The sequence below is a fragment of the Homo sapiens genome, chromosome 5 (genome assembly GCF_000001405.40).
Source record: "Homo sapiens chromosome 5, GRCh38.p14 Primary Assembly".
NCBI classification, from domain to species: domain Eukaryota; kingdom Metazoa; phylum Chordata; class Mammalia; order Primates; family Hominidae; genus Homo; species Homo sapiens.
Window position 1 is genome coordinate 2,899,783 of NC_000005.10, and position 14,445 is coordinate 2,914,227.

Here is a 14,445-nt window from a genome sequence, read left to right on the forward strand (position 1 = left end):
CTACCGACAAAATGCGAGGTGGCAAAACTGTTAACCATGGTGATATCTTTCCAGTAGATTAAAAGGAAAAATGAGATTTTTATTATATAACAAAAATTAAAACACTTAATCTATGTATATTTCATTTCTGTGGAGCAGGTGCAATTCAATTGAACAGCATTCTCTTTTCTCACTCCCTATAACTTGCCCACCAGCTGTGGCTATTACTACTTTGTGCAAAAAATAAGGAATTGTAAATAATGTATTTTCCCATAACAAAACCCAATGCAATTGACTTATGTATTTATTCTATTTTCATAACTTATACATTCTATGATATAATTATATGCAATTAACCTTGTCATGTTATATTTAATTAAATTGATTACATATTCAAAATAACATAAATATTAATATAGCAAATATATTAATATTTAGAAAATAATACATTACATATAGTTAAACATATTGTATTATAATTAATTATGTATTAGATGTTATATTTCTAAAATGCTTTATAAAATGTGATATACAAGAATGTATACTATGTGATTATATGATTTATGAATTATTACTTACTTTGCAATTCCAATCCCCTGTGTACAGATGCTACACTTCCTGTTCCTGTTGACATAAAGATCTGGTGTTTGCCCTCAGCAGAGGAGGGGCAGAATCTGCCTGGTATTGTCTGTTCCTGTGTTTCCCACTCTCCTCTCTTCCCAGCTTCTTCTCTGCAGCTCCTCACTCCCAGCTTCTCCCTTCAGCTTCTTCCCCTCCACTTTCTCCCTCCCCAGCTTCTCCCCACTCCAGCTTCTCCCCAACCTTCTCCCTTCCACCTTCCCCTTCTCCACCTTCTCCCTCTCCTGCTTCTTGCTCCCAGCTTCTCCCCTCAGCTTCTTTACCTCCACCTTCTCCCTCCCCAGCTTCTCCCCACCCCAACCTTCTCCCTTTCCACCTTCTCCCTCTCCAGCTGCTCACTCCCAGATTCTCCCCTCAGCTTCTTTCCCTCCACCTTCATCCTCTCCAGCTTCTCACTCCCAGCTCCATGATTCTTTCTGAGTTGAGATAAATGTGGCTTCTCCCTGCCATGGTTGTACTTTGGGGAAAATGTCCATGCTCATCTGGCTGCCTTGATCTTCTGTCTACAGAATCAAATAAGCCACCACTGGGCCCATCTGTCCCTTTGTAGGGAAGGAGTGTGACTGTTCCACTTTGCCCCACTTGGGCCTTTCTCCTCTGATGAAGCTACAGCCTCTGGTCTGGAGGTCAGGACATGTGTCCAGTGTTTAGTTCATACTAGCATCAGGGTATTAAAGAACCACTTTTGTGTTAACATGGCTATCCAGGAGTCTCCCCAGATGGCATCGTGTTAAAAGGCACACCTTGTGTTTGGGCCTGTTCATCTTTTTACATCCAGGTCATGAAGAGCTGTCTCTGCTGCTGGTAAGAAGGAGCTCTGCTGGCAGCGGAGCTCCTTCCAGAGCCTCGTGAAGCCAGCATCCCCTCAGGCCCTCCTGCGTGGGTGTGTGCAGACCTGGGAGGCTCCAGGGTGGGTGTCCTTTGAGTCCCCTTCCCTGGCTGTGCCTAACTCCTGTCCTGTGTTGCTGGCCCCACCCTGCTCTGGAGAGTCAAGTCCGTGCTCTCTTTTGTGAGAACATCTGGGTCTGTATTAGGCATATTCAATGCTTTTCTCTCCGAATTTAAAAAGGAAAAAAAAAACAAACAAACAGCAGATCTCGTAAGATTTAACCAGTACCAACGAAAAGCATGTTCCACTGACTTTCGGTTTTATTGAGTAAATAATTCACTCAAAGTTCCAGATACTTTTCTAATGGACTTAGTAGAAAGTCTCCCAGTTCCCACCCTGCCTGCCTTCCCCTTGAAATGGGTCATCCGTGGTGTTGGCTTCCTGTGCAGGCAACCAGAATCTCCACACGGTGGCAAAGACACCCCTGCAAACACGCCTTTGACACAAAGCCTGCACGCTGTCTGCACTGTGCTCGGATTTATCTGCATCTTGGGTGTCATTCCTCAAGAGATGTTGGAGAATGTCTTCATTGTTTCTTTGTTGTTGTTGTTGTTGCCGTCGTTGTCCTGAGCTGTCAATTGCTCAATTGCTCACCTCTCCCCGGATTTAGTCAGAGCACTGAACATAACTGTCACACATCTCCATCATCTGCCCTGCATCTCCAGATGGTGGGTCTAAACCATTCAGTTCTCCTCTTCGCTCCTGGGTTCTGCTTATTTTCGGAAGATCACCTTTGTGTTTATGCCCTGAACCGATTCCTGATTATTTGGGGATAGGAACAGTGGGCCATTGTTTCACATATCTCTGGGCCTGCCCCAGGAACCCCCACTCTTTGGCACTGAAGGGTGACCCTGCTCTGCCCAACCTGAAGCCCCATCCTGAGAGAGAGAAGGGTGAGGATGCTGCTGGAGGTGTGTGGCTGGGCCAGGAGCTGCCCATGGGAAACCCTACAGTTTCCAGGCCTGCTGCTCAAACCATAAAAAAGACAGGTGACCAAAATGCTTCTGAAATGTGGTATTGGAGCCTAACAGAAGGCCCTGCCCCACCAGGACATTCGAAGCAGCCAGGCAGAAAGTGCCCAGTCCACTAGAGCCAGTGTAAGAGGGAGTCCCCTCTGCCTAAACCCAGGCCAGGAAAGTAACCGGAAGACAGCCGATGTACTGTCTGCATGCTGCTATTTCCTGGTTTTTGGCCGCGGCTGCCCTGTAAAAGCCCATTGTCCTGCCCTGCTCAGGGGGTCTTCCTCTATTTTGTAGGCAAGCTGCTGTTCCACTCATCACTAATAGAAGCCACTTAGATCTTTAAAACTCAAATCTTTGACATTTTATATATTTTTTTAACAAAATGAATACAAGAAAGAACATATTTATGTACTATCCAGTTCAACGTTCCTGCAGCTCTGAGCAAAGCACCTACGCATTGAGAGAACATTCTAGACCAGGGCTAGCACACATTGACCATAAAGAGCCAGGCGGCATTGTAGGCTGCTGGTCCTCTGGTCTATGTCACTGGGACTGCCCTCTGCCCTGTTACCCGGAGGCCACCAGCCACACGGAGGCAAGAGCACCCCGGACCGTGTGCCAGCTGAGCTTCAGAAACTCTGACGTTTGGACTCCACGTAGCTTTCACATGCCACAAAACATGACTTGTGTTTTGATTTTCTTCTGAACCACCTGAAAACGCAAAACCATTCCTTGGAGCTTGGAGCTATACAAAAATAGGTTAGAGGCGACATCTGGCCCCAGAACTGCTGTTTGCGCACCTTGGTTCTAGTGTGGGCTCCACACTGTGAGTGAGGGTCCTGACAGAGGTTCAGGGTGTCGCCACCCCTACACCCCACTCCTGCCATCTGCTTTCTGCCCTGCTGGCCACAGCAGGGAATCAGGAAAAAGATAAGGCCCTGGTCCTAGCCTCAGCAACCAAGCTGCCTCTTTGGCCCGTCTGGGGCCACCATAACTCTTGCTTTCCAACAGGCTCCTGGGGAAAATGGGTTCTAGGGTCCCCGGGCTGCCCCTTAGGGATGAATTGGGATTCCTGGCATCATGGCCTGGGGTCAGATTTGTCCCTCTTGGGACAAAATTGGGCTTTTGTAAGTGAAAAGAGGCCACCCAGGACTATTTATCGAATGAGTGAATGAAAGGCAAATTCTCTCTCCCATCCAGTGGGTACTGGATGCCTGCAGCCCTGCCTGAGTTGCTCTTCTGAGCATTCCTTTAGTCTCAAGGCAAAATGAGCCCAAGCTGGAGGTGTCAGCAGACATCTCACCCGACATGAGCCGCTCTGCTCTTGCTTTCATGCTTGAGGTGAGGCAGGGCAGGGCCCTCCACTGGCCTGTCTCCCCGATATATGTACAGTGGCACCAGAGCACTGGTACGTTTCAGCATCAATCTCCAATATCACCCCAGTTTCAGCGATGCTGGAGATCCCATACCGGTTATCCATTCCTCTCTCCTGGCCACACTACCCTCAAAGCATCGTCTTGTACTGCACTCCCAGGTCCTGCCAGGGTGAATTCCCCGGAAATCCATGCCGACAAGACAAGCAGAAGCCATGGGCAGATGATGGGAGACGAGAAGAGACAGGAGGCTGCGAGGCAGAGGGCAGCATGCGCTGTAGGGAGGGAGCCAGGTGTGGAGGCAAAGGAAATGGGCGAAGGACGGGCATCTGCTGCCAGCCTGCATAGACAGTGGGGCTCCGGGTCCAGGAGGAGGCTGTGGCTGTGGCGGGTGCCTCCTGGCCCCCTGTTGAGCAGGGGGGTGCTGTCTGCAGGGCCTGCCTTAGTCCATGATTTGGATTCCGTTCTCCTCCGCGCAATGGAGAGGACCAGGTTCTTGGCCTCGCTGTGTCGTGGAAAGCCGACCTTCTGCCGGCTCCCGAGCTCCCAAGGTCCTGCCGACCAGCCGCCCTGCAGCCCATGCATGATGAGGCCGGCCGGCTGGCAGGGCTACTGCGTGTGTGTTCCAGGTGACAGTCAAGCAGGGGACCAGAAATAAACCTTTTCTGGAAGTAGTTTGATATTCGATAATTTTTGAAAAGCATGCTTGAGTAGTCCTGGAAACACAATGCAGTGGGGTGCTCTTCCCATTTTCTGGTTAGTTATTTTCATTGTCTGGGGAGGGTGGGGGACACCAGCACCCTCCAGGGCTGAAGCCCTCCCAGGGGCTATCTGAGCACAGCTCCCAGAGGCCACCGAGGGCCTCTGCTGTGTGCAAGTGCAGGGCTCCCAAACCCCCAGGCCATGGGTCAGTACCCGACCATGGTCTGTAACAAACCAGGCCTCACAGCAGGAGGTGAGCTCCGCGGAGTGTGAGCATTACCACCTGAGCTCCGCAAAGAGTGAGCATTACCACCTGAGCTCCGCAAAGAGTGAGCATTACCACCTGACGCCGCAGAGAGTGAGCATTACTACCTGAGCTCTGCAGCGAGTGAGCATTGCTGCCTGAGCTCCACAGAGAGTGAGCATCACCACCTGACGCCGCAGAGAGTGAGCATTACTACCTGACGCCGCAGAGAGTGAGCATTCCCACCTGACACTGTAGAGAGTGAGCATCACTACCTGAGCTCTGCAGTGAGTGAGCATCACCACCTGACGCCGCAGAGAGTGAGCATTACTACCTGACGCCGCAGAGAGTGAGCATTACCACCTGACACTGCAGAGAGTGAGCATCACCACCTGACACTGCAGAGAGTGAGCATCACCACCTGACGCTGTAGAGAGTGAGCATCACTACCTGAGCTCTGCAGCGAGTGACCATAAGCACCTGAGCTCTGCCTCAGTTCAGATCAGCACAGTATTAGATTTTCATAGGAGCACTGGCAGATTCTGAGCCCCGGCAGGCTGTACATACTGCAAGCAGCTCACTAAGATTTCAATGGGCTTATAGGACACACGGAAGATAACTGGCACTGGCCACCTCCTCAGTCACAAGGACGGGCCCCTGTGAGAGCGATGTCATGTGCGCAGCCTGTCGGTCCAGCCAGGGAGTGTCCTCACACTTCCATGTGTCCATGTGAACTGGTGACCTCGGAAACAGAGTGATCCTCAGTGGAAGTGAATGCAGCTTCTGGAAGTAAGGGAAATATTTGTCCAGCAAAAAGTGGGCACTCCATGGGTAACTTCCCACTTTCTATAAAAGTGCTGAGTCGTGCCCACCTCCCCACTTCATAGGTGGAAGTCCTGACACCCAGTCCTTCAGAATGTTACCTTATCTGGAGACAGCGCTTTCCAAGAGATACTGAAGTTAAAATGAGGTTGTTAGGGTGGTGTCTCATCCCATCTGACTGATGTCCCCATAAACAGAGAGATCAGGACACAGAGCAGCACAGAGGGATCCACTGTGAGGACACAGGGAAAAGTCACCATCTCCATGCCCTAGAGAGGCTCAGGACTTGCCAAAACCTGATCCCGGACTTCTGGCCTTGATAACTATGAGAGAGGAAGTTCTGCTTCTTAAGCCCCAGTGTATGGTGACAATACATTCCCATTGTTTAGGCCACCCAATATACGGTACTTGTTATGGCAAACTGAACAGACTAATACGAGGGTCAACTGTTTACCGTCAGAACAACATACTTTTATTCAAATCCACCTTCTCCTCATCCTGTGCCTTCGGTAAGGAGCTGGGTCACTGTGGGCGTCTGTGTGGTCGGTGGCTGAGACGTGATGTGGCACTGAGTCTGTGGACATCTCCCCGACACAAACAAGGCCCAGAAAACTTATAGGCACGTGGACAGCAGGGTCCACACTGAACATCAGAATCAATAATGAGGAATTTTAATTAGCTGGAATGTGGCCTATGGAATGTGTTTAACTGGCAGCAGTCATAGCTTTGTTTTTGCTCCTTTTCCTCTCTGTCCTACCTCCAACTGCTGAGAGGCTGGCAACTGCTCTCAGGGTGCCCTTTGCTCTTCCCCATCAGGCCCACTTCCAAAGGTTTATTTGCCTGTTTTGACACAGGAAATACAAGTGTGCATTTCCATGTTGCTTCTGCTTTTAAACAAATTACAACCCTGATAGAAGATTTGCATGAAACAGAAATACTGTGAAATAAGACTCATCATCCAGGGAATGGAATGCGAGGGCTGGGGCCAGGGGTTGGCCACAGCAAGGATGCCCCTTCCCACTCCTGTGATGAACTCTACATCACGAAATGCAAGGCAAAGATCCCACATGCAGCTTCCTGCAGGAGCCTGGGCATCATTTTTGTGTCTGAAACACTGGACTGACAGGCATGTGCTCCCAAAGCTGCACCGGTGGCCCCTCCCACAGGTCTGCAGTCACCTTGTCCTCGTACTGCACCTGCAGCTGGGTGGGGTCCAGCCTGTCCCCACCTGCCCCCACTTGCCCACAGGTGTACGAGGAATTCCCTTCACAGTCAACCATGAGGACACGCTAGGCCTCCTTTCAAGTTCTTTAGTCAGGGTCAGTGTCAAACATGGTGAAGAAGGTTTACAGCCTGCAAGTTCTGTGCCCACTTCCAGAGTGTGTTCCTAGAAAGAAGTTACAGGATTAAAGTCTCAGGGTGGGGCCAGCAGAGGCCAGGGATGAGGTTGGCAGGAGAGTGGGAAGATGCACAGGGTGAGTGTCTTGCAGCGAGACCAGAGTCGAGGCACCTGAGGGTATGCAGTGGGGGCAAGACCCCATCATCTTTCTGCAGAGACAGGTCAGCCAGGGACCTGTGGATGGTACCATGTGTTTGGTGTAGCTACAGGTCAAGACTGGCTAGTGAGTGTGATCCCCACCTATAGGTCAAGGCTGGAGAGAGGGATCACCATCTATAGATCAAGGTTGGACAGTGGGATTCCCCACCTGGAATTCAAGGCTGGAGAGTGTGATCCCCACCTGGAGATCAAGGCTGGAGAGTGGGATTTCCATCTATAGATCAAGGCTGAAGAGTGGGATCACCACCTAAAGGTCAAGGCTGGAGAGTGGAATCACCACCTAAAGGTCAAGGTTGGACAGTGGGATCCCCACCTGGAATTCAAGGCTGGAGAGTGGGATCCCCTCCTGGAGATCAAGGCTGGAGAGTGGGATTTCCATCTATAGATCAAGGCTGAAGAGTGGGATCACCACCTAAAGGTCAAGGCTGGAGAGTGGAATCACCACCTAAAGGTCAAGGTTGGACAGTGGGATCCCCACCTAAAGGTCAAGGCTGGAGAGTGGAATCACCACCTAAAGTTCAAGGTTGGACAGTGGGATCCCCACCTGGAATTCAAGGCTGGAGAGTGGGATCCCCACCTGGAGATCAAGGCTGGAGAATGGGATTTCCATCTATAGATCAAGGCTGAAGAGTGGGATCACCACCTAAAGGTCAAGGCTGGAGAGTGGGATCCCCACCTGGAGGTCAAGGCTGGAGAGTGGGATCCCCACCTGGATGTCAAGGCTGGAGAGTGGGATCCCCACCTGGAGGTCAAGGCTGGAGAGTGGGATCCCCACCTGGAGGTCAAGGCTGGAGAGTGGGATCCCCACCTGGATGTCAAGGCTGGAGAGTGGGATCCCCACCTGGAGGTCAAGGCTGGAGAGTGGGATCCCCACCTGGAGGTCAAGGCTGGAGAGTGGGATCCCCACCTGGATGTCAAGGCTGGAGAGTGGGATCCCCACCTGGATGTCAAGGCTGGAGAGTGGGATCCCCACCTGGATGTCAAGGCTGGAGAATGCGATCCCCATATACAGTTTTTTCCACCTGTGACCTTGAAATGCAGCTACTCCACAGCAACCTCAGAGTCAGGATGAACCAACGTTCGGAGTCTGGGAGCTTCTTAGAGGAAGCTGTGCTGACTTCAATCAACAACATTATCCTGGCAGGTCTGGGTCCTCAGAGACCTGATGCGCCCTGCTCTGCCTTCTGGGCTGTGTCCTCTTCATTCCCCCATCCCATGTTCTTCCCTGTGGATCCCTGACCTCTGAGGTTTCTCTGATCTTTTATTCAAATTCCCAGGGAGTAGAGGGTGGTATCAGGGAAAAGAGCAGCATGCAGTCTGCCTGCAGCCAAGGCCCCCTGGGCAACATGTTCTGTGTGGAGAAACAGAAGGCCAGTCTGTGACCACACTGACGCAGGCTGATAGGGGACTGCTGCTTGACAGTCAGTGGTTGTCACAGGTTACCGTGCACTTTGAAACAGTAGCTAAATTCCACTGTGTAAAGCCTATGAATTCGGTTTAGCCAATTAGCTCTTTCTATTGACTTTGTGAGTAAGGTTGATGCTTGCACCCGTTCACCTTTCCTAGGTTATCAATCATGACTACAGCTGGTACAGATGAGGCAATAACTTCCCAACCTTAATGAGGCTTTGAATTAATTACAAGTCAGGTCCTACACCACGTAACTCGACATGCAAAACCTCTCAAATTCAATATATCAGCACGTATGTAATATTTCAACACTGGTTATTTGAACCTCACTGAATACACTTTTATTTATTCATCTGTTTTATTAGTTGAATGCTTAGGAAGAATAGTAATAAAGACATTCAATGTACTAGCTATTTACAAGGTATCAATTGTTGTTTAGGAGCCTTTTTCTAAATCATTAAATGAAATGGAATCTGTGCTCCCCACTAAGTGGATGGGAGACTTGCAGGAAAGGCCCCTGGCATTTACTGTGCACAGCCAGGCATAGCCATCCTCCGGCCGTGGGCTGTGAGCTGCCTCTGTCACCCCACTGCGGGAACCATTTCAGTGTCCCTACTGTGATTTGCTGAGAGTCAAGATGATTTTCAGAGTATAACATCACTCTACCATGCATCGTGTATTATTTATGAGAAAAAATACACTGTCAGAGTGAAGAAACAGTGCTTTTTGTTTTGGGCAACACATTGCTTTTATCATACACATAATGTCTTGGTTCCTCCCCTAGTCCGTCCAAGGACTGACTTTTCAGATATGCCGACCATGGCTGCACACCTCTTGTTGGGAAGCGTGTAGACCACGGCCATCGTGCACACTGCCACAACCTTCGCGGCCCACAGTAAGCCTGTTGTGCTCAATCTTCAACTGAGCTCTCTGCTCAGCCCAGAACTTAAGCAGAGACTTTTGAATCCTCATGCTGCTGTGGTTCCAAATCCATTAGAAGCTGACGTTCTGCAGTTGAAAATGAATATTCCCTCTCGATGCTGAGCGAAATGCTTGCTATATACTGGGTGCTTAGGTGGAAAGATGTATTATGCCGAGGAGCGAGACGAAGCTGTGGTTAAACAGATTGAAAGTCTGTGAAGCCGGCAAAGCTCTCAAGAAATAAATTGCAGTTTCATTGTGAAGGTAAATTTTCTTTTCATTCTTGATTTACTCTAAACACAGATTGTGAGTCGAATGGAAACAGAAGAGAGACCCATCTCAAAAGCAACATGGGGACGGGGGTATACACTCCAGAAAGCGATTAAGCAGCTCCTTTGTTAAAAAAAAAAAAAAAAAAAAGGCTTGCAGTAGCTTTTCCGAAAAATACTAAAGTAGCACATCCTCCATGTCAGTTTCATGACTCATAATGTGAGTAATTGCTTCAAAATTATAATTCTCAGCTTTGTAAGTCTTATTTGCATTGCAAATCCGAAATATTCATTAAATAATAAACGTGTGAGTAAGAGCAATGCTGCTGGAGCTTTCCAGGGTCACGGTTCTGAGGCCATGTTTGGAGACCCCTTCTCAACTTCACAGACACCTTGGGATAAACACGTATGGACCACAGACTTGTGTTTTCTCTTTTAATTCCAGTAAACTCAGGACGGCTTTATAGTCTCCTGCTTTATTAGTGGGAGGCTAGCAAAAATATGGCTTTAGGTAACATGATGGATAAATATTTTTTTAAATTTTTTATGTTAATTAGTGCCTCACCTCCTCCATTCCAGAACAGGTTAGATTATTAACTAAAAAGGAAAGCCTTTTAATAATTGAAAGTATAAACTGAATCTGCAGTTTGAATTTAAAATGTGATATTATAAGTTGATTAGAATGAGAATACTAAAATACTAGGTATTTGGGGAAGATTTTTGTGATTGAATGAGTACATTTGAAATATTTTAATTTTCAGGCAGTTTTGGAAACTTAAGCTTTATTTGAATTTAAAAAATAGGCTTTTGAAAACTATGACATTATTTTAGAAAAAATAAATAACACTTTAACAGCATGCTGGTGAGTTAACTGCTCCTACAATTTGCCTTTTAGGAAATAAAAATGAGGACCACAGCCTGGGCTGTGTTTCCTGGGGGATTGCAGTATTCTAGAGCAGCACCTGGGAGAAAGCCCCAGGGCCCCGGCAGTTGTCAAGATGTCTTTGGGTCTGGGCCATCAGGGGTAGGCTGCAGCGGCACATTGGAGGAGCTCCGGATCCTGCAGTTTGGGGAGCAATCCCACTGAGTCCCAAGAAGGTGCCATGTCCTGGTGGCTGAAGATGGCAAGCCCTGGGATTGAACCTTTGACCTGGGGCATGGTGGAGTGGAGTGGTGGGCAGGAGGTGTAGAAAACATTCTTGGCATTGCAGACCACTCACCTTAACAACACACTGCTACTGCTTGTCCTCAAGTCTGAGGCTTAGCCCCTCTGCCTCAGGAAGAGCCTTTGTAGTACTGGACAAAGAAACCTTTGGGACCCTGGATCCCTCACAGGCAGACCCATTCCCCTGGCCAACAGTCCATGGAGGTAGCAAGAATGCATGTCTCGGAGCCTCATGAGGATGCGACTCTGCTCCCAGACACCTGATCTTGCCCATACAGCACCTGTGCAGGGGGTGCAGGTGGCAGCAAGACCGGCCACATTGTCCTGTTCACATCCCAATGGCACCTGCCCAGTCCATCACACAGTGGGTGTAGGTCTATTACATAAAGTGCAAGGAAACCTCTAGAGATGCGCAGGTCCATACCAGTGTGGTGAATTTTTATTCCATCGGTGGATTGCATAAAGTTTAACATAAATCTAGATACAGTATCTACATAATGCATAGTAATGTAATATAGTCAGTATCCACTTAATGCATCCAAATGCATAGGACCATGACAGTCAGAGACAGAAAAGTGAAAGTGAATTTTCCCAATAAACTGTCAGTTTATCTCATTGATCATTTCTCTAAAATACCATGAATTTGGTCCTGAATTTCTCATGTCTACAGCCCTACTGTCTATTACTAGGGGCTACAGCCACAATTCTCTTCCCATTTATTTCCAAAATTTCATAGAATCTGCAGCAAAGGAGGAGCCACACTCTGTCCTGCCTAATATTTTGCGCAGGTGAGACCCAGGGAACTCCAGGCCTGCATTATGGACCATTCAAGTAGCTTGCTAGTTCCACATGCTTGACATACACACACACAATGCGTCATGTTGTCATACATGTTACATACACGCATACTTATATGCAAATATCTGCAGAAGTATCTGTACCAAATCTTTGCTGTACCTATATGGATAGACATGTATGTATACCTTTTTTTTTAATAGGTAGTTTCGTTTAGAAACCAAAAAGTTAAAAAAAGATGCCCGATGAAGAATCTCCCGGTCCACTTTGCTTCATCCTTCATCCACCCAGGAAATGTTCATTTCTTCTGTTGTTTCCAAACATCTTTTACACAAATATAAGCAAATACAAATATTTTCCTCCCACTGCCTTTCCATTTTGTGAATAGAAGCTCACTGCACAATGTCTTGCCTCTTGCCTCTGTTACTATCAGCATGTCTGAGAGCTCTTTCCACATCGGTACAGAAACAGCCTTCTTGTTCATTTGTCCATCCACGTAGTATTCCTCTATATAGCCTTAATAAAATCATTTTTAACCCAGTCATTGTTGATGGACACTTGGGTAATGGTAATCTAATATACAATTTCTAATATCAGAAAAAATGCTAGAAACAATTTTTTTAAGTATCAGAAACAAAAAAACTATATTTTTAATATTAAAATGAATGATGACATTTTCCATATGCATGATTTCTATTATTTAAATAAAATTGTTCGACCAAATGCACATGCATTTATAATTTCAATGGACATTGCCAAGTTGCCCACAAGAGAAGTCCTCACTTGCAACTGACAAGTTGCACTCATGTCAGTCTTACCTGGGGGTGTTAGAATGCCTTCCTGCAGGTTAGCCTGCACAGTGCTTTCCGGAGTTCAGAGCTCGTCCATCCACAGGTGACAATGATATCACTGAGGTGGCACTGCCATTCCTTCTTTATGTGAAAAATCAGTGAGCCTACGGTCTTGCCATATTTCTAAGAGATGTTCGTATTGACTTTTCTGGGAATTCTCTGTTCATCTTCTTTGTCCAATTATTATTGCCTGCTGACCTTTTCTAAATAAATGGGTGGGGATTCTTTACTTCTCAGGAAAATAAGCTGTTTGTCAGTAATCTCAGTGGAATGCATTTTTTTCCTTCTGATATTTTTTCCATGAAGAAGTTTTTTTAATTTTACATATCACATTTATTAATTTCTTAATTGACTTTTGGATATAAGTTGGAATTGGAAAGGATTGTTTTCTCATGTTTTCTTCTCCTAGTTTTATAATTATTAATAATCAACTTTCCACTCACCTAGATTTTACCCTTTTTACGTGGCTGCTTGCAGAGCTCTCGCCACGGGGCCGGCCGCCCGATTCTCCCTCATGCCTTGCTGGTGTGGGAGGCCCTCTCTGTCTTATTCGCTGGTGTGGGAGGCCCTCGCTGTCTTTTTCGCTGTTGTGGGAGGCCCTCTCTGTCTTATTGACTGGTGTTGATGCCCTCTCTGTCTTATTCGCTGGTGTGGGAGGCCCTCTCTGTCTTAGGCTAAGCCTCCTTTTGATGGGTCCTGCTGATGGACTTCCACTGTTTCTCTGGACACTGTGCCGAGGCTCTGTGATGCACGTGCTATCCGGTGGGTCCAGTCCTCCTCATCGCCTCCTTGTTTTTCAGACTTCTCATCCATTTACATCTGACAGTTATGCTATGTTTTCCAATGGCTACATTTTTTTCTGTGGATTTTGTGGTACATGCTGTTCTTCTCTCTTCTCATCACCCCAGGTTTACAAATTGTGTCCCCAGAAGGTGACCACCCTCTTGGGAACCCAGGAAGACTCTGATCCCAGTGAGTGTGGAGTTCTGTGTGCGCAGACACAGATCAGAGGCTGTGAGACTCGGAGCACTCTGCCTCCACCAAGCCTGTGAGGGCCACGCTGTTCACACGGGCACATAGGGGCCCAGAGCCTTCAGAGTTTGGATCCGGGTGTGTGGCCAGCACCTGTCAGGAAAGCGAACTGCCCCATGACAGTCTGCTCCTGAGCTGCCCTGAGTCCTCAGCCCCCACAGCTCTCAGGCTTTTATATCCCCTCCCAGTGTGCGGGCATGCAAGTACATGTGTGTGCACACACATGCATGCAATACACACAACACACAATCCACACACTGTCTACACAGAACATACATACCAGACATGCAACACACTCCATACATACCACGCATACTTCACAAACAACCACAACAGTGCACACACAAAATACTCCACAATACCACACCACATCGTACACACACCTCTACACACAATACATTTATCACACAGGCCACATACCTAGCATACACCACTTACACAACATATGTAAGTTATACCACCCATACCACTAACACATCACACAGATGCACACATCATACAGCTCACAACATAGCACACACCATGCACTCATTACAGAGCACACAGCACTACACACAGATAAAAATGAGTAAAACAAATAGAAAGTTTGTAAAGCCTGAGTTTGCTAAGTGTGATGGCTTCTGCTATTTTCTATTTCGTTCTAGTCTATTCTTTTCTATGTATTCTATACATTTTCTAAAAAGCTGCACCTGGCACTCTGACTTGATTTCTACGCAGGGTGCAGGATGCTGGCCAGTGGATACGTGCCTGTGGGATAACCACTCAGCCCTGTGCCTGGCCCCTGCTCACCCTAGGTCCCTTGCGGGGTTGACTTCTAGAGGCAGATGTGCCTTC